This window comes from Homo sapiens, chromosome 2 (assembly GCF_000001405.40).
Source record: "Homo sapiens chromosome 2, GRCh38.p14 Primary Assembly".
Taxonomy (NCBI): domain Eukaryota; kingdom Metazoa; phylum Chordata; class Mammalia; order Primates; family Hominidae; genus Homo; species Homo sapiens.
Window position 1 is genome coordinate 213,732,987 of NC_000002.12, and position 27,795 is coordinate 213,760,781.

A 27,795-nucleotide genomic window follows, 5' to 3' on the forward strand; every position below is an offset into this window, starting at 1 on the left:
CCCACCAACAGTGTAAGAGTTTTCCTTTTTCTCACAACCTCACCAGCATCTGTTGTTTTTTGACTTTTTACTAATAGCCATTCTGACTGGTGTGAGATGGTATCTCATTGTGGTTTTGATTTACATTTCTGTAATGCTCACTGATGTTGAGCTGTTTTTCATATATTTATTGGCTGCGAGTATGTCTGTTCATGTAAAGGGTTCATGTCCTTCACCTACTTTGTAATGGGGTTGTTTTTTTTTTCTTGTAAATTTAAGTTCCTTATAGATGCTGAATATTAGACCTTTGTCAGATGGATAGACTGCAGAAATTTTCTCTCATTCTGTAGGTTCCACATTTTTTGTTGTGACAGGAATGCTGGAAGGGGTTGAAATGGGAACAGTTTTCTTCCTCCAGTTGGGAGGAGGAATATCCCAATAAAGGTGGGGGAAAGTGATTTTCCTTGGAGAACAGACCTGAGTGTATTTCACAATGATTATTTCTTCATTTCTTCTGCCAGAGTTATGAAGGGATTTTTTTTTTTTTTTTTTTTGGTGTGTGTCTTCATGAGAACATCGTGGGGATTCTGAAAGTAAAGCAAACAAAAATGTAAAGGCCTCCCCAAGACTATGGCCTCCAAGACTTTCTTGTATTTGGTTTCTAGTTAGTTTCCAAGCTAGTCCATCCTTAACCTCCAGTACTTTATCAACATTACCATTTTGTGGTGTCCTCATCAATTTATGGTTCCAGTGGCTTCTGTTTCAAGTGAGACTTCTGTTGTGTTTCTCTTGTCTCCAGATTTAAGGGTGATGGTTTGCCTAGTGACTTCAGTTCTCTGATAGGTTCAAGAAAAGTTCATGGTTTTTAGTTTGTTCAACTTTTTCTTATTTTAAGGATGGAGCAACTTGCAAGCTCTTGGCATATTAGAGTTAAAACCAGAAGTCCTTTATTCTGTTTTATAGCCACTTTTATATTCCTTTTTTTGGAAATGAGTTTCTAGAGAAAGAAAGGAGTCCGTTACTAAACCTGAAACTTACTAGATTTAGAAGTTCACATCACACTGAGACTCACTGTGATTCTCTGTGAATATAACATCTGTCACTTCTCTGTCTAAATTCTGGGGAAAGTCCAGTTTAGGCCTACTCTTGTGGCGTGCATTTATGCCCCTGGGTATGATTTAGGTTACCTAACAGTTTTCATTCTTGATCGAGTGATGGGAGGAAAGAATTGCAAGGACTGTAAAATGAAACTGGCCATGAGCAGGACCCAGCAAGAAAAGAGATAAATGCTAGATGGAAACTGCCATTTGCCCACAATTCTAACATCTTAAATTCAGTTCTTAGCTATTGGGTGTCAGTTTTTAGAAGTGAAAAACTAACACTCTTCTCTCCCCACCAAACCAAGAGAAAAAAGCATTGAGACATTTCTTGATAGTCACTATAAAAAATAAAGATAAACTGAGCAAAGATTAAGTATTTTTCCTTCTTCCAAAATAAGATAAAACTTTTATTATAAAATATGCTGCTAAATATGGACATGCTCTTTGAAAAAATAACAGAAATCATATGCTTGCAGTAGATTTATAGAATCAAGTTTTTAGAATTGGAATGTATTTTGAAGGTGAGTGTCTTTTTAATAACTTTTAAATAACTAATTTTATCCAGTTGCAATAAAGGGGTTATATGCAAATACACCAGAATGCTATGGGTTCTTCTTTCTCATTCTTTCATTTTATGTAGACTTGGACATGTTTTTTTTTGGTATGAACATGAATTTCTTTAGTTTTCAGTGGCATTTATTATAAGCCAGACAATATGCTATTTATTTTTTTGAATTATTTTTAAACTTTTGAAAAGTAGCATATCCAATAAATTCTGTAATTATAAAATAAAATGATGGCTTTGTACTTCATATGATGTGACAATTGTTAATCTCCATCGCCTGTTTCAGTAGGTCTCAACCTTTTATTCATTATTGTCCCCTAAGGTGCCTTTCTAGATATTTTTTTTTCCTAATTACTCCCTCTCCCATAAAATTTTATTACTATTGCAGATATACTCCATATCTGCTTATGTACTGCAGCCCTTGAGAAGTCCAAAAACACTGTAATATCTCCTAATTTACCCCTTCCCCATAAACCAGTTTTCACCTCTTGAACATGCTATTATCCTAGTTGAGAATGCATGCCCTATTTGATTAATAATAATGGTTATCTTTTATAAATCACCAAACTAAATATGTAGGTGCTGGTTCTAGAGTCACATTATTTAGGTTAGTATTCTGGAGCAACTCTTTACCAGATTTGTGATTGTGAATTATTTATTAAACTCAAAGTTCCTCAATTTTCTCAATTCAAAATAAAAATAATAGCACCCGAATTGGTGAAAGTAATACTGACAGTTGTAACAAACATCCCCAAATGCAGGATGTTTCAAATCCTATAGAAGAGTATTTCTCAGTAATATAAATTCCAAACAGAATGTTACTGAGTGTCAGGTTAGCTCTAGTCCAGGTGCTGGCTTCTTCCACCATGCGATTCATCAACTGAAGCTCATATTGTTTCCCAGGTTGCACTGGGAGTTGGTATCCAGCCATTAGTCAAGACAAGATAAGGGAAAATTGCAAAATAATGAAAAGCCTTTAGGGGCCAGTGTGGAAGTGATACATACTAGTTTTAGCCACGTTCCTCTCACCAGAATTTAGGTCCAGCTATGATTGCCACACTTAAGTAAAAGAGGGGAATGGGTGGGAAATATGTTCCATCTCTGTGTTTAGGAAAGATAGGAGATGAATTTCATTAATAGCTAGTCAGTCTCTGCCATGGCAGTTATTTCATAGCATTGTGAAGATTATTAAACTATTTGAAAGATATATTATGTCTAGAATTGTCTAGCACTACAACTGGGATGTTTTGAATATTATGGATGGGGCATAAAATGTAAGTTTAGATACCGTCATTATACAGATGAGGGAAATGACAGGCAGAGATACCACTATCCTAATGAGGATGACTGGAGATGAGGGAATTGATATTTATGGAGATTAAGAATTTGCTCAATGTCACTGAGGTAGAATTTTAATACAGCTTAATAAAAATTTAAAACCCATTTGTTTCCTCTCATTTCACTGTGCTTACTCTATTCAATAATTTAATTAGTTACTTTTGCTTTTTAAAAGGCACTGTCATTCTGTTTTCCATGATAACTCAAGGTTTCTTTAATAGAGTGAATAAATAATTATATCATTTTATAAAATGTTTTGGGATTATCATAATAAAGATAATGATGATGACATCAATTCTTGAGTTCCTAATTGCTGTAGGTTCAGATTTTTTTTTCTTTTTTTGAGATGGAGTCTCACTCTGTCACCCAGGCTGGAGTGCAGTGGTGTGATCTCGGCTCACTGTAAACTTCACCTTCCAGGTTATTCTCCCATTTCAGCCTTCCAAGTAGCTGGCATTACATGCACCCACCACCACACCCGGCTAATTTTTGTATTTTTAGTAGAGACAGGGTTTCGCCATGTTGGCCAGGCTGGTCTCAAACTCCTGACCTCAGATGATCCACCTGCCTCGGCCTCCCAAAGTGTTTGGATTACAGGTTCAGATTTTAATAAGATGACAACTGAAGTGTGTTTCACAGGGGTAATAAAAATAGAGATCTTAATACCAAATTAAGAAATAAATTTCTCCAAGCATATAGAAATTAATCTAATTGATGTGTGCATATATTTTTAAATAATTTTTTTTTTTTTTTGAGACAGAGTTTCACTTTTGTTCCCCAAGCTGCAGTGCAATGGCGAGATCTCGGCTTGCTGCAACCTCTGCCTCCTCGGTTCAAGTGATTCTCCTGCCTCAGCCTTCCAAGTAGCTGGGATTACAGGCGCGCACCACCATGCCCAGCTAATTTTTTGTATTTTTAGTAGAAACGGGGTTTCACCATGTTAGCCAGGCTGGTCTTGAACGCCTGACCTCAGGTGATCTGCCCACCTCGGCCCCCCAAAGTGATGGGATTACAGGCGTCAGCCACCATGCCCAGCCCAATGCTGTTGATCTTTTCAACTAACTCATGTTAGCAGCCCTATTAAGGCAGCCAACATTTTATCAGTTTCAAATTTATTCACTATGTCACTAAGATGATGGTTCTTGATTTATTTTTATTAATTTTTATTTCTATAGAAAATCTATGAATTGTGATTGCAGTTTTATGGCTGATAACTTTCTAGAAAAAATTATGATATACAACAAAACTTAACGAATATCAGCAAAAAGGGGAATCTACACCTTCACACTATTCTATTCACGTTTGCACTTTCTTCCAATTTTCTTTGTGCATACGTGTTTGCAGTTATAGCATACTATACTCTTTATATTTTTTGTTGTTTGCTAATGTAATTCTGTATTTCTACGGAGTCTTCAAAATTATCACTTTTAATGGCTTCAAGACATTCTCTATGCTGTTATATAATTGGTAACATTTAACCGTTTAGTACCAACTTTTTTTCTCCTTACTTTTTCTTTTTCTTTTCTTTTTTTTTTTTGAGACGGAGTCTCGCTCTGTCGCCTAGGCTGGAGTGCAGTGGCGCGATCTCGGCTCACTGCAAGCTCCGCCTCCCAGGTTCACGCCATTCTCCTGCCTCAGCCTCCCGAGTAGCTGGGACTATAGGCGCCCGCCACCACGCCCGGCTAATTTTTTTGTATTTTTAGTAGAGACGGGGTTTCATCGTGTTAGCCAGGATGGTCTCGATCTCCTGACCTTGTGATCAGCCCGCCTCGGCCTCCCAAAGTGCTGGGATTACAGGCGTGAGCCACCGCGCCTGGCCTCTCATTACTTTTTCTTACATGTATACTTTCTTCTTAACATTAGTAAATGTAGGTTGAGAAGTTATTTTCGATTTTTGTCAGCATGACATTTTGCCCCAGTTGTGTCTCTTTTTCTGTCTATAGTTGCTACCTATCAATATTTTTAAAAAAATTCTGCCCCTCTTTTAAGCCATAATTATCACTCATTCATTCATTGAATTTCTTAAGTGTTTCTCTTCATTGTAGTTTTAAATTTTTCTCTTTCTAAACACTTTATAGTTTTCTAAAAACTTTAGCATTCAAATAATATCCTGGTTTTATTGCCTTACAGTGCAAGATAATTCATATTGAACAGCTTGTTATTTTACTGACTGTAAATTGATTACATTCTCAAATCTCATTATTGAACATTTTGTAGAGCCAGTATAGTTAAGTATAGTAGTCCGTCTTTACATGGGGGATACATTTCAAGACCCCCAGTGGATGCCTGAAATTGTAGATAGTACTGAACCCTACCCTATATATGCTATGTTTTCCCTAAACATACATACTTATGATAAAATTTAATTTATAAATTAGGCAAGGTAGGAGATTAATGACCAGTTATTCAGAAGATAGAGCATATGAGAGTGATGACTGATAAACCTGTAAAAGATTTTCCACATTCCTTAAAATATAATGCCTTTAAGGATATGAAACTAATTTATTTCATAACAGTAGCTACATTACTATTCTTGGCATATGAAAAATTGAATGTTGAGAAGTACCACTATAAAATTTTAAAAATGAGAAGTCATGGCAAATATATACCTTATAACTTATATCAATACAGAGGTGCCATAAGACATTAAAAATTATCATTGCTTTCTGATATTAGTTTACTATTATTTTATTGTTTTTGTTATTATTGTCAGTTTAGCATAGTTAAAAATATACTGTATGAAAAATATGATAGTTATAATGCTGTTCACCAATTATTTCCAACTCTCCGTTCTTTTTTAACACATGGTAGGATTGCACTTTTTAGGGGCTCCATTTGGGGAGATAGGGCTTTAAGACAGGTTCTGTCCAGTGGGTTTGGAACAGACATATCTTCTGGCCAGATTTCATTGCCAGTATGACATTCTCAAGCTCATTTTCTTCTGCCACAGGTAGCCACGTTACAGAGAGTGACTGTTCTGCTCATATTGATCTTGATATGCATATAGGATAAACAGGAAATAAGTCTTTGCTTACTTTTACTTAAACAACTGTGATTTGGGGATTGTTAACATAGCAAAATCAATCATCTTCTGCTCATGACAGAAAAGTCAGTTTTTGTTTTATTTGGGCAATTTGCTCATCTAATATTTGCTCATCTTATTATTATCCTAGTAGCAATTTATAACAAATGGTTCATGAAGAGTTCTGATTTCAGATTATTTATTTCCCACGTAGCCTCAGTAGGATAATGTGGTTTGGTTAATTTGGCCCCCTATTACTTGTACTTCAACAGGTTAATTTTATAACTACTTATTTTATAATGTAGGTTTCATTGCTTTTATTCAGAATTAAAATGTGTCTTTGCATAGTAATATTTCATTTACAGGATAAATATTCATTGAATAAATTCTCAAATGCACATCTGTTACCTTTGAAAAAGTTCTTTCTTCCCTAAGTTTCATTTAGTTCTTACCTTACTTAGATAGATATCCACAAGTTTATCATGAATTCTTTAAAAATAAACTCTTAATCTAGGCATACTTATTTAGTGGAGCATAGTTCAGCATATCATTTATGGAAAAAATTGTTTTGACACTAAATTACAATATTCCCTAATTTAAAATCTCTGCTTTTTCTTTTTTTTCCTCCTGAGACGGAGTCTTGCTTTGTCGCCCAGGCTGGAGCACAATGGTGGGATCTCGGCTCACTGCAACCTCTCCCTCCCAGGTTCAAGTGATTCTCCTGCCTCAGCCTCCTGAGTAGCTGGGACCACAGGCATGGGCCACCACGGCCAGCTAATTTTTGTGTTTTTAGTAGAGGTGGGGTTTTACCATGTTGGCCAGGTTGGTCTCAAACTCCTGACCTCAGGCTATCTGCCTGCCTCGACCTCCCAAAGTGCTGGGACCAAAAGCGTGAGCCACTGTGCCTGGCCAAAATCTCTGCATATCCTTTGAAAAATTAAATATAAATATAACTTGTATTAATATATTTGAATTTCAAATACATTTGGAAGCACTTAGTTTTTAGGGCAACAATACTATGAATTCTTTTGGAAAGCCAAGATTTATTTTGTCCCTTTATTCTTAAGAATAAAGATTTTATAAAATGACTCCTTTCCTTAGACTGAAAAATCATATTACATTACACATTACATATATACCTAAAAATGAAGTTAAATTTAATATCATGTTACATCAGAGATGTAGCTGTAAGATAATTTATAATTACAAATTATTTTTAGTAATGTCTCCTAAATTAGAGCTAAGAGTGGTAAAATAATCAATATAATCTCTATTCTGAGGTTTAAACAGATGACTCCAGGAATATAAAATCTGAGGTAGACACTTCATTAGTTGAGTGAAGTTTCTGTAACAAACTGTAAAGAAAGGTTGATGTCTTATGAAATGTGAAAGGTTGATGTCTTATGAAATGGGAGTGGACCAGAAAGGAACAGCTGCTCACTACCAAAAAGAGGTGAGTGAAGGCTCTGCCTGTAAAGAGGGCCACATTTTCTTTTAAGAAGTCAATTTTAAGTCTTCTGGTAGATTGCGTTGTAGTTCAGGCCATCATCATTTGCCTCACTCTCATCATGCTTACTGAAATGAGCAAATGAATAAACTCCAGGGGGAAGTCCCGTATCAGCAAGGCATCATATGCCACAGACTTCTACTAGTTATAGGGCATATACACTGTGTAAAGTGAAAATAACAAGGGTAACTTACTAACCTCCTCAGTGAGAGGCTGTGGCAAAGTCAGTAAGAGGAAGAGAAAGGGTAACTGTTGGCTGAACACCCAAGAGTGTGGGGTAAAGATGGGGCGTGAAGGTGAAGCTGGGCTATGGACAAAGAAAGACCAATTACTTGGAACCCATTTCACTATCATTTATTGACAGCATTCTAACCATCCCCATCAGTGACTGCTGAGGCAATAGAAACCACTTTCAAACAGATTAAAACAGAAATTAACTGTTCTTTCAACCTATGTTTCCTTAAAATATATCATGCCATAGTGTGAGTTTTTAAAGTTTGGGGAATTTTAGGGCTAAAACAGCAGGTGCTGAGCATTAAGTTATTCAACTATTAATTTAACGCCTCATAACTTTAGTTAATGTGACAACTAAAAGAAATTAAAATATAATAAATGTTTCTTAAGGAGAAATCTTATTAATCTTTATTAAAGGTAAGGGTAAAGTAAGAATATATGATAAAAATCTGAATAAAATAAAAAATACTAGTTAAGCGCATGTCTACAGGCACCACTTTAAACATTTTCTATGTATAAGTATATTTAATAATACATTATTGTTATTATTTCCATTTCAAAAATAAAGGAAGTTAAGGACAGACAGATTGGGTGATATGCTGACTCCTATATGTTGGAATTTGAATTAAATCCAATCAGTATTCTCTACCTCCCCAAGTCTGAGTATGCTCCATTGCCTTCAAAAACCAGAAGCAAATATCTGTTAGGATCATAATTGTAAATGAGTTAACCTTACCTGTTGAAAGACTAAGGAAAAAAAAGTAAACCGCTGAGTAAAATAAAATGATACACAGAGATGATAAATTAAAGTTTAGTCAAAGTTATATTAATCAAGTACAGATAAAAGAAAGCAGAGATTATAATGTTGATTTCAGATTTTAAAAAATAATTCATAGCAAACTAAAATTGAATGTTTCCAAGAAGGCCATTTTTATTGCAGTGTAAAATCTTAGGGATTTTACAATGACTAAACATTACATTAGTCATTTTATATATGTGCCAAATAGCTTGATAGGTATATTGTAAATTCAGCTTTATAAATTTAGAGATTATATTATTAACTCAAATTGGATTTGCAATTGTTATATCTACCTGTTGAATTAAACCTGTATCATTTTGAGTTGTTCTCTTTTTTCCTTGAACTCTCTTGTCTAATATTTATAGAGTTACACTAGGTTTCTTTGGCTTCATATGTGCATGGTTATTATTTTTCATTCTTTTTTCAACCTTTCTGTGTAATTGTGTTGTAGAAGTCTTTTGTAAGTGGCTTATAGTTTTGTTTTTTTAATCTAGTTCTCATTTGTTTTTAATTGGAGCATTAAATCAATTTATAGTTGATGTAATACCAATGTGTTTGGGTTTAAATCTGCCATCTGGTTTTGTACTTGCTGTTCTGTGTTTAGTATTTTTTTTTTACTCTCTTTTCTTGGTTTCCTTTTTATTACAAAAGCATTTTCAATTAAATTTTTTCCCTAAGAATTTTGGAACTTACAGATTGTTTACTAATTTTGGAGACAGTACAGATTCTGTCTTATATACTTCTAGTTGAATATTAATAAATTCATTTGTCTTCCCTTTCAAGAATACAAGGACATTAGTATAGTCCATTTGCACCTCTTCTGACTGACATGTTACTATTGTATATTTTAATTTCATTCTGTTATGATACTAACAAGACATTATCTTATTGTTCTGTTCAATTACTAGTTTATAAATTTACTCACGTATTTACCATACCCACTGATCACCTCACATAAAATTATAAATACCTCTACAGGTACACTCTTGATCCCTCCTGTCTTATTTTGCTTATTTCTTTTTTTTTTTTTTTTTTTTTTGAGACGAAGTTTCGGTCTTGTCGCCCAGGCTGGAGTGCGTGGCGCAATCTCGCCTCACTGCAACCTCCACCTCCCGGGTGCAAGCAATTCTCCAGTCTCAGCTTCTCGAGTAGCTGGGATTACAGGCGCCCACCACCACGCCTGGCTAATTTTTGTATTTTTTAGTACAGACAGCGTTTCACCATGTTGGCCAGGCTGGTCCTGAACCCCTGACCTCAGGTGATCCACCCGTCTCGGCCTTCCAAGTAATCCTGAGTAGCTGGGATTACAGGCGTGAGCCACCGTGCTCGGCTGCTTATTTCTTAATTCTACAAATTTGCCAGTATTTAACATGCCGTATTGTTGTTTTTTTGAGACGGAGTCTCGCTCTGTCGCCCAGGCTGGAGTGCAGTGGTGAGATCTCCACTCACTGCGAGCTCCACCTCCCGCGTTCACGCCATTCTCCTGCCTCAGCCTCCCGAGTAGCTGGGACTACAGGCGCCCGCCACCACGCCCGGCTAATTTTTTGTATTTTTGGTAGAGACAGGGTTTCACTGTGTTAGCGAGGATGGTCTCTATCTCCTGACCTCGTGATCCACCCGCGTCAGCCTCCCAAAGTGCTGGGATTACAGGCGTGAGCCACCGCGCCCGGCTGTATTGTTGTTTTTTAAAAAATTATTTTAGTGTTTATTGTATCTCCTCTTCCAACTAAAATGTATGTTCTGAATACACTGACATTCATGGATTTTTTCCTAGTGCTTAGAACAATGCCTGGCCCCTATAGGAAGCACCAATTATATATTTATTGAGTGAAAGAATGAATTTATTCTTAAGTGTCTTACACTCCATCCTGAGATCAACTTCCTTCTGTCCAAAGTATATCTTTTATGTTCCCTTTGTGAAGATTTGCTGATGTGCTCCCTTATTTTTTCCCTAGAAATATCTTATTTCATCCTAAAAAATGTTTTTCAGCATACAGGAATGCTTTTATTATTTAATATTAAGACATTTAAGATATTAATTCTCTGACACCTGACTTCCATTATTGCTGTTGAGCAGTCTGCTGTCAGTCAAACTGTCCCTCCTTTGTGGTAAATTTGTCTGTCTTCTCGGGCTACTACTAAAAACTTCTTTTCACATTCTATACTCTTCATTTTCACAGTGTTGTATTTGTTGCGCATTTCTTTTTTAATTAACTTGTTTTTGGGTTCATTAGATCTCGTCTTGTCTTCTATCACTTCTAGAAAATTCTCAGCCATAGCATCTTCAAATACTTGTCTCTGTCCCATTTTCCCACTGTTCTCCTTTTAAACTTTAAATGTGTTAGAACTCAATCTGTTCTTCATGTATTTTAACTTCCTTTTTAGATTTTTCATCTCTGCTTCTGCTGATTCTTATTCCTGCTTTTTCTGCTTCGTGGTACCTTGCCTCTTGCATGCTTAGTTATATTTTAGTGTGAGCATCTCTTTTTCCTTGGGAAATTATCCATGGGAATATTTGAGGCTAGAATGAAGGTGTATTCATTCCTTCAGAGGATTTACTTTTGCTACCTCCCAGAGCACTCCCTATATGAGAGTAGTTTATGGAGGTTGAAGGATGTTTTGTCTGCTCAGTTGATATGTATTAATATTTGGACAGCTCTGAACCAAAGCAGCTTTTTCTTTTTTTCAGCTTCCTTGGGTTGTCAATGAAGTAGGTGCACATATTTCTGGGTCGCATGTGCCCTCTGAGGATACAGTTATATAATTGAGAATCTCCTCCTTGATTTTCCATGTTGGCTGGAAACTGGATTTTACTTTATTTCTCTCTTACCACCCCACAGTCATCCCAAGCTTCCTGCCCAGGTTATCAGTCTGTGATCATGGAAGCTTGAGCTCTCCAAGCTTGGCAGTTATCTAAGAATAAGGAATTCTGTCTTTACTCTTTTTTTTGTCAGGTCTTTAGTGAGATATTTATACATGTAATCACAAAATAATATATTATCATTACCTAGTTTTTAATACTTTTTAGCTAGAGACTCCATCTGACAATGGAATCATCCATAGTATCTTTGTGTCATTGTTCTCTACAAATAATGATTTTAAATCAATGGGAAGTATTAGGAACTGTTTAATAATAAAACACTGGGAGAAGTGGTTAATCATTAAGGGATGGAGGAAGACTTTGAGAAGGAAAAAGGCTGATAACTATGTGATTTGAATCTAATTCATTTCACACTGCAACTGGATACATAGTTTGGCATATGGTGGTTTAAATACCATACATATAAGGTGCCATTAGATACACCTTTACCACTTCCATATTAACATTTCTGGTGACTCACAAGAACATCTGTAACAAAATTCTGGCATTCATAGATTTTCAAACAAAAATACATGTTTACTTTTAATTCCATTTTGCCTATTTTTAAAGTTTTATACTCATTTATGGATTTTGGGTATTGTATGACATACGTTGATTTTTCTTCATTTGAAGATCAAACATAAATTCACCTACACAACTTTTCCAAAACTGTTATGGTTTCACGTTTTCAACTTCTATTTGTGAATTAGCTTTTTCTTTTTTTCTAAAAAGTTAACCAGTTATACAATGCAATTAATTAAATGCAGATGTCTATGATTTTAAAAAACTATCTATACTACATAAATTAATTTGATCTATTTCTGATACATTCATATTTTAAATATGTAGCTATTTATTTTTTTTCTTTTGAGATGAAGTTTTGTTCTTGTTGCCCAGGCTGGAGCGCAATGGAATGATCTTGGCTCACTGCAACCTCTGCCTCCCGGGTTCAAGCAATTCTCCTGCCTCAGCCTCCCGAGTAGCTGGGATTACAGGTGCCTGCCACCATGCCTGGCTAATTTTTGTATATTTAGTAGAGACGGAGTTTCACCATGTTGACTAGGCTGGTCTTGAACTCCTGACTTCAGGTGATCCACTCACCTCGACCTCCCAAAGTGCTGAGAGTACAGGCGTGAGCCACTGCACCTGGCCCAACTATTTCATACTTATTAAATATCATGATTTTATATTTAAGTTATAGATATATTCATACTTTTAAGAAAAATAGTATATCTGCATTTTCCAAAATTGTTATATTTAAAAATAGCTTTGAATTTTGCGTACATGTTTCACTTCCTTATTGGTATGTCTTTAGTATATGGTGCTTTATTCAAATGCCATAATTATAAAAATATCTTATAATAATCAACTTTAAAAAGGGACATCGGTTTGATTTTGAAAAATCACTTCTTGACCTTAAATACTAGAATGTAATAATAAAAGAGATTATTTGAAATGGTGAACTGAGTACATAAAATTTGATGGTACACTTTTAACACAGATTTTTCTATTGTTCATGTTTAACTTAAGAAAGGTGGTAGGTTTCATCTCTTTATGTCTTGATTTCTCGTACAATTGCTTCATGCTGTTATGCTAAGATCAGAATTACAGATCTTTCCTGGCTGAAATGAATGATCAACATTTAATTGACTAAGTTCCTCATTGTTTAAGATGCTTTGACTTGTGGACGTCAGATGCAGGGAAACAGATTTACTGAAATTCTGACCCCTGGCATATTTTTTGTCATAGACACATAGATATTACTTGAAACCAAATATGTATTTTTCATCATACTTTATCCATTAAGCCACTGAAGTCTTTTGGAATATTGTCTTTTATTTAAGTGCCATCCATCTAAAGCCGCCTGAAGTTGCAGAGTTCTGCAATTACTGACAGTAATACTCTCTGAAAAACTATGTTAATCCAGTCTTATGCCACTTAACCTCATTTTGGTCAATGATGAACCACATATACTATAGTGTCCCATAAGATTATAACAGAGCTGAAAAATTCCTATCACCTAGTGACACTGTAGCCGTTATGATGTGTTAGTGCAAGGCAATACTCTGTGGTTGTGGTGATGCTTATGTAAATAAACCTACTGCACCGCCAGTTATATAAAAGTATAGCACAGTCCGGGTGCGGTGGCTCATGCCTGTAATCCCAGCACTTTGGGAGGCTGAGGCAGGCAGATCACCCGAGGTCAGGAGTTCGAGACCAGCCTGGCCAATATGGCAAAAACCCTGTCTCTACCAAAAATACAAAAATTAGCTGGGCGTGGTGGTGCGTGCCTGTAGTCCCAGTTACTAGGGTGGCTGAGGCAGGAGAATCACTTGAACCCAGGAGGCAGAAGTTGCAGTGAGCCAAGATCGCACCACTGCACTCCAGCCTGGGCGACAGAGCAAGACTCCATTTCAAAAAAAGAAGAAAAGAAAAAGTATAGCACATATGATTGTGTACAATACGTAATACCTGATAGTGATAATAGATGACTGTTCCTGGTTTATGTATTTACTGTACTTTTTATCATTATTTTAGAGTGTACTCCTTCTACTTATCAAAAAAAAGTTAACTGTAAATCAGTCTCAGGTCCTTTAAGAAGTATTCCATAAGAAGGTATTGTCATAAAAGGAGATAACAGCTCCATGCATGTTATTGCCCCCAAAGACCTTCCGGGGGACAAGATGTGGATGTAGAAGACAGTGATATTGATGACCCTGACCTTGTGTAGGCCTAGGCTAAGTATGTGCTTGTGTCTTAGCTTTTAACAAAAAAGTTCAAGCAGTAAAAGATAACAGTTTTTAAAAATACAAAAAGTCTTATAAAAGAAATCTATAAAGAAAATATTCTGTATAGCTGTACATGTTTGTGTCTTAACCTAAGTGTTATTTCAAAAGAACAAAACAGATTTTAAAAAATTTATGAAGTAAAAATATAGAAAGCTAAGGTTAATTTATTACTTAATAAAATATTTTTTATAAATTTAGAGTAGCCTAAGTGTACAGTGTTTATAAAGTCGATAGTAATGTACACTAGCGTCCTAGGCCTTCACATTTACTCGCCACTCACTCACTTTCTTACCTAGATCAAATTGCAGTCCTGTAGGCACCATTCATAGTAAGTGCTCAATATGGGTATACCATTCTTATCTTTATACTGTATTTTTTGCACAAATTTTCTGTGTTCAGATACACAAATAGTTACCATTATGTTACTATCGCTACAATATTCGGTATGGTAACATGCTATACAGGTTTGTAGGCTAGGAGCAACAGGCTAGACCATATAGCCTAGGTGTGGGGTAGGCCCTGCTATCTAGGTTTGTATAAGTACACTCAATGATGTTCGAAGAAGGATACCATCTCAGAATACATCACCGTCTTGATACCATCTCAGAATACATCACCGTCTTTAAGGGATACATGACTATGGTTTAGCAGAAAGATCATTTATTTGTCTGTAACGTTTGAATCAGTTCATCTGATGATCAAAATCTTGCCACAATAAAACATATTCTGTCATTCAGAAGTATGCTATTGAGACAGCTGAACTTTCACCTTTGCTTTCCATATAAAACTCAGGGTTCTATAGCAATTAATTTATTCAAGTTGGACGATTATTGTTAATAATACCCTTGTCTTTAAAAAAGTTATTGACTTAATCCTTTTGGATTATTTAAAAATGTATCAATTCTTTTTTTTCTTCCAGTATCCATTATAAACTTACAGCACAGTTCATGAATTTCAGGTTACAAAAAATAGACATAGAGTTGTTAACAGCATAGTTCATGAATTTCAGGTTACGAAAAATAGAGTTGTTTTCCTCAAGAATATTTTATGAAATACTTTTAAAAGGAACATATTCCTAAATGAAAAAATATTTCATTGTGCATGTTTCAGAAGCACTTTTATTCAGGTATGATTAATACATAGAACTGGAATGAACATTTGTTCATATTCTTTCAGATAAAACACAAATAGGAGTATATACATGTCTTTAAAAAGATATAAGTAAATTTGCATTAAAAGTTTATGTTCTTTTCCAAGTCTATATTTTCTCTTTTTATTAAGTTGAAAAAAAATGAAGAAATAATTAATAAGTTTTATTTCATTAGTTCTTTGTAAAATATTATTAGAATATGTAAAAATAGCTCATGCTACTGAAAGTTATTAATTGGATATGTTTACTGTGTTTATTTTTATGTATATCATTCATTAACATATAAATAAGAAAGGAAATCTGAAAGTAAGCGTAAGGACTATTATACATAATCTTGTGTAATTTCCCAAATTCAGAAATCAATACATGTGATATAATTACTAATACCTAGATGATCAATTTAATTCTTTTTTAGATATGTAATATAAATAGAAAATTTCTTAGGGCTTAAGTAAAAAACAACAGTGTTTTAGTTTTTTTCTGTGTGAAAAAATACTTTCATTTGCCTCATTCTTTACCTGTTAAAAAGCCTCTCAGGGTGGGGCGTGGTGGCACACGTCTGTAATCCTAGCACTTTGAGAGGCCTAGGCAGGGGGATCATGAGGTCAGGAGATCGAGACCATCCTGGCCAACAAGGTGAAACCCTGTCTCTATTAAAAATACAAAAGTTAGCTGGGCATGGTGGCGGGCGCCTGTAGTCCCAGCTACTCAGGAGGCTGAGGCAGGAGCATTGCTTGAACCCGGGAGGCGGAGGTTGCAGTGAGCCGAGATCGCGCCACTGTACTACACCCTGGGTGACAGAGTGAGACTCTCAGAAAAACAAAAACAGAAACAAAAACAAAACAAAACAAAAAACACTCAGAAAAACTTTATTTGCTCCCACTTATTTTCTACTTTTTCTTCTTTTGCTATTATATTTATATTTATGTTTAATGGTCATTTATATTTAATATAAATCTATTTATATAATTGTATTTAATGGCCATTTTATATTTTTCTGTATTCTCCCAGTTAACATATCCTGGCAGCATAAATGAAATTTGATGATTTCATTATCAGTTATCCAAACAAGCTTTCCTATCCCTGACCTGTGAATCTGTGCTAGGTGGGGTAGATTAGAAGCTTCAGGATCTTGTAAGGGTGACGTGACAAGGGCAGATAACTGATGGTCCTGATAGCACCCAGAGAAAAGCTACGTTAAATCTCTGTCCTCCATATAGCTGAAGTAGTGTCTAGTATCAGTTTATGGTTCTTCACTTGAAATGAGAATATGTTGTATACTATAGATTTAAATAAAACAAACTTAGATTTAAACTGCTTAAGCTAAAGATCTTGGCTATTTAGCTATAATTTTTAGTGAAAATATCCTAGTTTATTGAATCTTACCTAGATATTCTTTTTATAAGTTTGATTTTATTTTGTTCTCCTTCTTTCCTTTTTGTCATTTCTTTACTTAGGCTATAAATTTATTTTAAAGACTGAGTTTTCTCTTGACCAATTCTTTCCATAAGTTCACCTGTTTTTTATATGACTTACACTATAAGAGCCTATGTAGACACTCAATAAATGTGTTTTATTTTGTAGCAGAATCCATGACTTATTATCAGTAAAACCCTGGTTGAGGTACTTTTAATCTTGTTTTCCACACCTAAACCTATCTAGCCCTGTTGCATTGTATCCCGAGGCCCAGCATTATTCAATATTTTGTGTATTTACAGTAAGCCAAGTGGAGTACTTATTGTATCCTGGAAATAATAACTATGTCGACTAATAGGCATCAAAATAAGAATTAATTTTTACTTTGCAGGACAAGTACTCCAAGAAACCTGAGTTGTTAAGGTGGTAAACACAGAAAGCACTATACAAAGTATTTGTAAAGATTAACATTGCTACAGTTATGCAAGCACATATTTGCCTTAACAAGATTAGTAATGCCAGCTGCCTGCATTCAAAGAGACAATTTAACTTCAATTTTAATATTACCTGAAACAGTGTAAAATGACAAGAGTTACATCGAAATATGTATCACAATTTCAAATGAAGAAATTAAAGCATACCTTTATGTTATCTGCTGTGACTTTTATAAATGAATGAAATGGAATATATGAATTTTTATTATAGAAAGCTATTTGTCCAAAATTAAAATAATATTTTATTACAATATAGTTTTTACTGATGTTTTTACAAGTATTGTATTCTCTTTGATGGTAGGTTCTCTTGTTGGTAAATTCCAATCGATTAAAAATTCATGTTCCTTTGTTTAGGCGTTGGTCATAGTGGATGGTGAATTGAGTCACTTCCTCACCTCTCTCTATTCAACCTTTTGTGCTGCACAGGCTGTTTCCTAGGACCACTTGAAGCTTGAGTTCTGTTCATAATTTGGGTTCTGCCAATTAGATGCACTTGAGTAAAATGTGGAAGGTGGAAAGCAGTCTAGGCTATGTTTCTAAGGTTTTTCTGCTGGCAGACTCCTGATAGAATTATCTGATATCTGTAGAGTGTCTTACCAGAATAATGCTTCCCTTAATATGGGTTGCATCCTCATCATAACAGCTTCCTAATCATGGCCAGCTTCTGGACCACCGATGATACATTAACTCCTTGGGTCATCTAGTTCTGTGACCCTCACAGTTGTTCTGTTAAATGCAATGTAAAGTCTGTTTTCAGCCTTCAATATGATTCAGAAAGTTATTTAAAATTTCATAATGCATTTTTTATGTTTATACTACAAAAATGTAGTTGGTCTCTGCATTTAATTGATACAATTAACAATAATATATTTTAAATTTTATTTACTTCAATTGTTAATTTTTTTTTTTACTAAAGAAAATGTACTTATATGGTAAATGTTATAAATTTTATTTACTATAGTTGCTGCCTCTACATTTATTTTTAGGGCTGACATAGTTATTTAAAACCTGGTCATAACCTAGTTAAAATTTCTCCTCCACGTATGGTTGCTTGCAATATAGCCCACTTGTTCCTCATCCCACTGACCCTAAACTCAACATACCCCACAGCTGCTAATCACGAGAAAACCTAGTGTTCAATATTAGAATAATGTAAATAAGTTCTCCCTTCACACGTGTTTTCTTTAAACCAGCTAATCCACAACCTCTGAGGGAAAGCCTAAGTGGTAACACTCATAGGCCTTAATAATGGTGTAGCCACCCAGGTTCTCTCCATCGTTTCCTGCTCACTGGGTGAACTCCCTGCCACCTCCAGTCTTACCGTCAGCCTCCTGTTGTCACCCCAACCTCTCTGGAATCTGTGAGTAATAAATATCTTCTATTTTCTGCACTGTGGCTTCACTTCCTTATTGTGTCTCCCCTGACGCACACGCACGCCTGAACTTAACCTTATATTCAGCCAGAGCTCTTTTGGGCAGTGGCTGTCTTGACAAGAATAAACAAGGGTATCTGCTGTATAAACAAGTTTCCTGTGAAAGGACGACCTGGTCACAGTGAGATACTTAGGCATTAGGCCATCATCAGGATAAAGAAATAGCCCAAAAAAGGCATGCTACAAACTCTCAGGCCCAGTTTTTTTACTTTCCAGGTCAGAACAGGGCTGGAGCTTATGGCCAGTCTTGAGAGAGACCACAAAACCAAATTGGAAACAATTCATAACAAATTAAATCAAAACTGTAAACTAAACCGAAAAAGTAAAGGTGATACCTATAATTAAAGGTAGCAATTTATTGGCCCCACTACTCCCACTCCAAATTGCCGTAGCTAGAAACAATTGCTTTTTAATTTTTCTGGGTTTTGTTATTTTGGTGGTTACTTCATATCTCTGAATAACACACGTATTCCAACAATCATGATTTTCTCATGCGAGACATATTCCGTTGATTTTTCTGCTAGACTAGATAAGGACTTTGTCTTCTTAACCTTCTTCCCAGCTCCTCTCCCCATAGCCACCCAATGTAGTTATATCACCATTTTAATTTCTTTATTATGTTTTTAATTTAAATAATATGTACTTTTATCACCTTTCCATCAGCTCTAGAAATATGATTTTTGACTCCCCTCTTTGTAAGATATTATCAGTGCTAATCTTCCCTGACCTTTCTCTCCTCTACCATTCTTTCCTCCACTTCTGTGTTTCTTCTGTAGTTATAATAAATAGTACATTTTCTTTCTCTTGAAAACTTCTAAAATGCTTAAGGTTTTAAGCTTTCTTTAAACATAGTGAGATCGGAAAATAAAGGCCTTATCGAATTACTCATGATTTTATCTTTTCTCATGGTCATTTAATGCCTGATCTTTCAAAAGTTTCACTTTCTTTTACTGACATTCCTCTGTTGCCTTGGTTTTGTATTTGCTGCCTTCTTACTCTTTTTCTCTGCTTTGTATTTTGTGAAGCACAAAAAGCTACACAGTACACTAAAACACAACTAATTATACTTCACATTAATGAATAGGCTAATGCTTTTCCGGTGTGGTGGGGGAGTTTCCAAAACCTAGATTAGGAAGACTATCAATTTGTTGACTATTCAGTTAGCAGTAGAATAAGGGAACAGTATAGAGAGACTCCAGTTCCCTTTCCTAGCCAATGAATAAAAGCTTACAAACCATCGTCTTATGTTCATAGATTGTTTTCCCTAAATATTTTACATGTATTTATATATACTGAAGTTCATTAGTCAATTCTATGCTAACTCAAAAAGTTATTATTTTTTCAATTTTTTTCTTTTTTGAGACGGAGTCTCGCTCTGTCACCCAGGCTGGAGTGCAGTGGCGTGATCTCAGCTCACTGCAAGCTCCACCTCCCAGGTTCATGCCATTCTCCTGCCTCAGCCTCCCGAGTAGCTGGGACTACAGGTGCCCGTCACCACGCCCGGCTAATTTTTTGTATTTTTAGTAGAGATGGGGTTTCACTTTGTTAGCCAGGATGGTCTTGATTTCCTGACCTCGTGATCCGCCTGCCTCGGCCTCCCAAAGTGCTGGGATTACACGTGTGAGCTGCTGCGCCCAGCCTATTTTTTCAATCTTATGCTATTTATCTTACTACTTTCTTTCTCATAAGTGCATAGGAAAATTTGACACTGCTGAGAAATCACTGAACTGTTTGTGGGATACCACCAGATTATTTATGGTTCTATAAGATATTTCTCAGGCCAGGCCTTTTATAAAGCAATTTTAATATATGTATGAATTATTATATGTCATGTAATTATTCTATAATTTTAGAATGTATATTCAGATTAAGACATTAGTTTCATGTAATACTTTCAGGCATGCTGAAGTCCCAGTAGCTACAGGTAGGGAAGAAGCAGGAAACTGTAAACAGGTGGACCCAGGATCAGGTACCTCACATAGCTCTAGGACTAGTACTACAGAGAGTAATAGTAGTATAGTCAACACTGTACAGTGTGGATGTAATATGGCAGCAGGTTCTTCCAGGACAGGTGAGGATACTTGCAGATTGACTGGTACCATCACTGCAATTGTAGATGGCATGAATGACTTAGACCTAACTAGGAACATGAAGACATGTGTGGTCTTAGGAAAAAGGGTTGAGTAGATATGGCCAGATTATCAGGAATCAGGAAAATGCTCTACCTTCATAAGAATGATAAATCACAGTCAAGAAACAAAAGGATAATTCCAGTTGCATGTTCAGCAAGCCGTGACATAGGTTAGAAGCAAAGTCTGCAGCTCACTGGACACAGAGATATCTTGAGAGTTAATTCTAACCTAGTATTTATCAAAAGGTGATCTATTATAACTCTCTGGAATCCTGGTCAAAAACTAAGATAATTAGGCCTGTTCCAACTCTTAGACTTCAGATCAAATCCAATAATCTCTGTGAACCTCCCTGAGTGATCCTTATGAATCTTAAAATTTGAGAACCACATCTTTAGACATACCAGATACTAAGTTTAGAACAGAAAGACAAATTTGAGGCATTTTATTTCACTTGCTTACTACCCTTTACCAAAATATTGAGGCTAGTTTTCTTAATTTACTCTTGTCAATGTGGACAAAGGCCTGAAAACACTGTGCTTATAGTTTGAAAGCATTTATATTTGCAGTGATGTGGAGCTGGAAAATGAGGATTTGCTCATTTTTATTTATTTTTCTATACTAGTTGAGTGTTATAATAAAATATAAAAACTCATTTTAGCTTCATCTTAGTCTAATGTGCTTTTCATGACAAGTACTTAAAGATTATGTCTAGTCAGTGTAGCTTCATAATTGATGTAAAACAATGCAGAAACATATTAAACATATGACAGCTTATGAGATCTAAATTTGTAAACTTCATAAATATTAAAAAACTTTCATATTTTAAACTTTCATATTTTAAAATAAATATGAAACCTACGATAGTCTTACATTAGTCAAAATGAAATAAAATTAATGTATCACAGCCCAATGACTAGTTTCTTCTCATTCACCTGATGAATGCAAGAAAGCCTGTTAGTTGGAGTAAAATCATCTGGTGTGTGCTCAGCTGCATTTAACTGTAGAGGCCTTAAGACATGTTAAGCAATGTGATTTTGATTTCACCTGCTGACTTTCCGAAGGCAACTTATTATAAGAAACAGTTGAATAGTGATATCATGCTGTTGGCACTTGAGCTTTCTGCTGGAGGTTGCAATCTAATCTTTGCAAACCTGTAATTACTATTTCCTAAGTAATTCTAGGTTTCCATTATTGAATCTCTAAATGTCTAAAAGGTACTGAGATGTAATATACAAAAAGGCATAGGGATCAAATGATAACAACAAACTCTTTGTGTCAGTAATACTCAATTTCGATGTTTTTGATGTTATAATGACATGTTACTGGCAAGAATATTTGGTGCATTTTGCAGGTTCAGTGTATTTTTTTATGTTGGTGTTATGAAGTCTTTGAAATAAAAAGATGTTTTATTCCAGGGTTATCAATCCATGCATCACAGTTTAGAGAAATAAGTGAAAGATAGTGATTCTACTTTGAAATTTAAATGTTTGTCTCTGGTTATTCAAGTTAAGTATTTTAAAATAGTTTTGACTGATATCATGTTATATAGAAAATGTGAAGTCATAGGTGTCTGTGTAATGGAATATGAAAAACATTGTTTATTAAAAAAATAAAATCCTGGTAGAGACATCATTTCTCCTTTGAAATATATAGATAAGTGATCCACTAAAAAAGTAAACATCTCAAACACAAAGTTTAATTCTGCTTGTGAGAATATGCCATACATTGCACTTTTTTTGTGAAAGATAAACTACTCTTTTTTATCATTTCATTTTAATGTGTTTCATGTACTGTCCTAGGCACAAGGAATAGAATCGTAACAAGGACAGGGTTTGCTTTTGTAGAGCATAGATTCTAATGGAGAAGATAGAAAGTTAAAAAGCAAACAGAAATTTCAAGCTGATGATAATGATGACTGAGATGATAGCTGTCACAGTGAAGATGATAGGCAGTGGACTTTAGTAGATATTAGAAAGATATACCCAAGAGCACTGCATGAGATATGTAACTAATAGAGAGGAATCTGTAATAACTCAAGAAAATAAAGTTCTGTGACCAAATTATTCAGACATATATGATAAAATATTATAAAATAGTAGAAAAGAATATTTGCAGTCCCTGTGGCTGCATTTAACCATCTAAATATATCAATATCTATATACCTATATATGAAAATCCCTATCTAATGAAATAGTTTAAAAATCTTCCCAAGATTATGCAGCTACTTAAATGGCTGAGTAGGACTAGATCTGCAGACCCCTGAGGCCAGCCTCAGATATCAGTCAGAGTGAACATAACAAATCAAAGTAGTGTCCTTCCACAGAGGAGTTAAAATATTTAAACATAAGTAATTTTAGCAATCCAATAGGTGTTAAAAAAAAGAAAAAAGTCTATGGGCCAGGCACGATGGCTCATGCATGTAATCCTAGCACTTTGGGAGGCCGAGGCAGGTGGATCACCTGAGGTCAGGAGTTCAAGACCAGCCTGGCCAACGTGGTAAAACCCCGTCTCAAAAAAATAAATAAATAAATAAAAATTAGCCAGGTGTGGTGGCATCCTCCTGTAGTCCCAGCTATTCGGAAGGCTGAGGCAGGAGAATTGCTTGAACCTAGGAGGCAGAGGTTGCATGCAGTGAGCTGAGATCACACCACTGCACTCCAGCCTAGGTGACAGAAAATAAAAATCTATGCCCAGATAAATCTTTAGACTAATTGAGCAAGGCCTTTGCTTATACATCTTTGGTGTACCATAGGTTTGGATTTGTAGCTGTAGACTTTAACTTTTGCTTGTCTATAGCCACTGCATTACAAAGATGCAAATACCAGACTTTTCCAAACATGTTAATATGGGATCTCTGGGAGCGGGAACCCCCTAAATGGCTAATGTATACCAGGCCAATTAAAATTTAACGGCCTAGGATATGTGTGGGTATGCATGTGTATTTATTTAAAAAGACACTCAAATAGTTTTTTTTTATATGAAGAAAGTAAAGCTTTGACACTGAAATTAAATGATGTAATAACTGTTATATTCAGCTAATATCTCAATGATGGCTTTGAGGCAGTTGATAGTAGATAGCTTTTTTAAAGAAGTGTTTTTGAATGTTTAGCATATGAAACCCTTATGGTGTTGTCTTTATAGAGCAAAGAGGGAATAAAGAAATGGAATGTAAAAAATCCTAAATATTCCACATAAAAAAGCTTACTAGAATTAATAAATGTATTCAGCAAAGTTGCAGGACACAAAATCAATATGCAAATATCAGTTGTGATTTCATATACTAACATAAATCTGAAACGGAAATTTTTAAAAATTGGGTTAAAATAGCATCAAAAATACATAGAAATATAAACTTAACAGGAGACTAAAGACTTGTTCTCTGAAAACTACAAACATTTCTAAAGAAAATAAAGATGGTAATAAATAGACATATATATTCATGAATTAGATGACTTAATATTGTTGTCCATACTACTTAAAGCTATCCACAGGTTAAATACCATCCATATCAAAATACCCATAGCTGTTTTTTTTTTCTGAAATAGAAAAAGCAATTCTAAAATTCATATGCAACCGCAGAGAACCAAAAAGAGCCCAAACAATCTAAAGAACAAGCTGGAGGTCCTGCACTTCCTGACTTCAAAGGATATTACAAAATTACAGTAGTTAAAACATTATGGAGAAATAGTTATAGAAATATGGTGGAGTAGGAAGCACCAGGAATCTGTCTTCCCACCTAGAGAACAATTGTACTGGCAGAATCTGTCTGATATATAACTATTTTGGATTTTTGACATCTACTAAAGGCTTGCAACTTCTAGGGGAAAGCTTGCATGGCGAATTATGATTAATTTCAGTCAATTTCAGCACTTAACCACAGTAGTAGCTACCCATTTCCCACAGTCACCCCTGTAGCAGGCAGCTGTGCACATGTTACTGGAGCAGTCTGCACAGAGCATGCAGGAACCAGAGTGGGCAAAAAAAGGACCTGTCATCCAAATATCGGCAATCTTTGCTCTGATTGCTGATTGCTGTTTCTGGTCACAAAGATGGACGCAAAGAGGTGAGTGGTTATTGTTGCACCTCTATCCATTATTGCAAGCCCCTCCCTGCTGGCTGAAGTGACTTCCAGAAGATTAAAAGGGCCAGTGCCCTTCTCCTACTTTATTTTTCTGTTTTTCCCCCTTTGACAGCTAGACATTAAAAAGTAGGGCATTCAAAGTAACTGCACATATGGTGACAATCAGAAAATGACTAAGTTACTAAGTGTAAACTTAAGGACTGTCTTTTCTAAGCCTGTGCCTTGCCTTTCCTTTGGCACAGGCTTAGAAAAGACAGTCTTTAAGTTTACACTTCAGACTGATTCTTGGCACAGAGATAGCCTACAACAGAATCCTCTTATGACAATATAAAAAGCAAAATCATTGACTGAAGTAACCGCAAACTCTCAGTAAGAGGGAGAATCTAATTTTTAGAGTTACTATGTTATTAGATCCAAAATCACAATTCATACAAAAAATTAAGAAACTATGTCTTGTCCAAAGGAAAATATGAAATCCCTAAAATGACTTGATGGTGGATCTGCTACAGAGGGACTTTAAAATAATTGTGTTAAATGATCAAAGAACTACAGGAAGATATAGAGAAAGTCAAGAAAATGATATATGAACAAAATGAAAAAAATTCAATGGATAGGAAACCTCACAAGAAGTTAAAAAAAATTGGGAGCTGAAAAGTACAACAACTTAAATAAAAAATTTACTAGAGCGATTCAAAGGAAGATTTGAGCAAGCAAAGGAAACAGTCAGTAAACTTGAAGATAGGACAATGGAAATCAAGGAACAGAAGGAAAAAGAATTGAAAAAAGTAAACAGAGTCTAAGGGACCTGTGTGACACAATCAAGGAGTCACAGGAGGAGAGGAGAAAGAGAAGAGAAAACTTGAAGAAACAACGGATAGAACCTTTCCAAATCTGATAAAAGACATTAATATAAACATTCAAGAAATCCAACAGAATTCAAGGAAGATGAACTCAAAAAGACATAAACTGAAATACATTATAATCAAAGCTTTAAAAGGTGGAGACAAAGATAGAATCTTAAAAGCAGCAGAAAAACATCAATATATTACTTATAAGGAATAATCAGTAAGATTATCAGTATATTTCTCACCAGAAACGTTGCAGGCCAGAAGGCAGTGGGCTGACATTCGAAGTGCTAAAGAAAAACAAAAACAGAAAACATTATCAAACAAGAATCTTATATCCAGCCAAACTGTCCTTAAAGTGAGGGCGAAATTAAGACATCCCCAGGAAAACAACAGTTGGGAGAGCTTGTTACCATTGGACCTGACTTGCAAGAAATCCTCCTGCAGAGTGAAATGAGAAGACACTAGACAGTAACTTGAAGTTGTGTAAAGAAATAAAGATCTTAATAAAGGAAAATACATAGAAAATTATAAAAGCTTATATTATTGTAACAATACTTTTTAACTGCACTTTTCGTGTTCTACATGCTTTAAGAGGTTAATATATATATATTTAAATTTGTATAAAAGTTCATATTATGCTTTGTAACTCCAATTTTGTTTTGTACATAATTTAAGAGACTAATGAATTTAAAATACTTACATGTTTATATTTTTGTATAATACATAAAGATATAATTTTGTGACATCAAAAATTGAGAGGGTGGGGGAATGGAGCTTTTGAAGGAGCCGAGTTTTTATATATTATTGCAGTTATGGTGGTACAAATTTAAATTAGAATGTTATATATGCAGGATCTAAAATATAATCCCTATGGTAACCACCAAGAAAATAGCTATATACAAGGAAATGAGAAAGAAATTTAAGCAAATCACTAAAGAAAATAAAATAGACAACTAAATATAAAAGATAGTAATGCAGGAAATGTAGGGAAACATCTATAAGCTATAACGAATTCAAATAGTGGCTGGGCGCAGTGGCTCACACCTGCAATCCCTGCGCTTTGGGAGGCCGAGGTGGGTGGATCATGAAGTCAGGAGATCGAAACCATCCTGGCCAACATGGTGAAACCCTGTCTCTACTAAAAATACAAAAAATAGCTAGGTGTGGTGGCACATGCCTATAGTCCCAGATACTCATGAGGCTGAGGGAGGAGAATCACTTGAACCCAGGAGGCGGAGGCTGCAGTGATCCAAGATTGTGCCATGGCACTCCATCCTGGGTGACAAAGCAAGACTCTGTCTCAAAAAAAGAAAAAAAAAAGAATTCAAAAATAGTAAAATGACAGAAGTAGCTTCCTTCTTTTCAGAAATTACTTATAAATTGATTAAATGAGCTAATCAAAAGACTGGCAAAATAGATTTTTTTAAAAAAGATCTATGTGTGTACAAGAGACTCATTTTAGATCCAAAGATGCAAATAGATTGAAGGTAGAGGGACAGAAAAAGATTTCTCAGGCAAATAACCAAACAAGAGCAGGGTAGCTATACTGAGAACAGACAAAATAGACTTTAATCAAAAAGTTTACAAAAGGCAAAGAAGGACATTCTATATTAATAAAAGGTTTAATACAGTAAGAAGTTATAACAAGTATAAACATTTATGAACCTAGTAACAGATCACTAAATTATATGAAGAAATAACTTACATAATGGAAGGGAATGATACACAGTTCCACAGTAATAGTTGAAGATGAATAAATCACTCTCAATAATGGCTAGAAAAAAAAAACAAAGATAAATAAGAAAATGCAATACATTAAAAAAAAAACAATTAGACCTAACTCTGTGCAACAACAGCGTACACATTCTTCTCAAGTGTACATGGTACATTTTCCAAAATAGACTATATGTTACTTCATAAATTAAGTCTCATTAGATTGAAAAGATAGTTATAGAAAGTATCTTCTCTGATCCTAAGAAGATTGTCTTAGTTCATTTTTTGCTGTTATAACAAAATGCCACACACTGGATAATTTATATAAAAATGTTT

At 35.0% G+C, this 27,795-nt stretch overlaps 1 protein-coding gene and 1 non-coding gene across 18 annotated transcripts in view, besides 1 other annotated feature; both read left to right on the top strand.

Annotated features, from left to right (window-relative positions):
- Window positions 1-27,795, top strand: part of SPAG16 (sperm associated antigen 16) — a 1,126,038-nt gene that overhangs the window by 448,523 nt on the left and 649,720 nt on the right. The gene's annotated exons all lie outside the window — the stretch shown is intronic.
- Window positions 1,213-1,352: an enhancer, noted in NCBI's record as "active region_17067". NCBI's record gives its function as "activates an Ori minimal core promoter by ATAC-STARR-seq in GM12878 lymphoblastoid cells {active_cell/tissue: GM12878}" and the evidence as "EXISTENCE:reporter gene assay evidence [ECO:0000049][PMID:35858748]".
- Window positions 25,081-25,173, top strand: MIR4438 (microRNA 4438). The gene has a single exon (NR_039640.1). It is a non-coding gene; the product is annotated as a microRNA 4438 (primary transcript).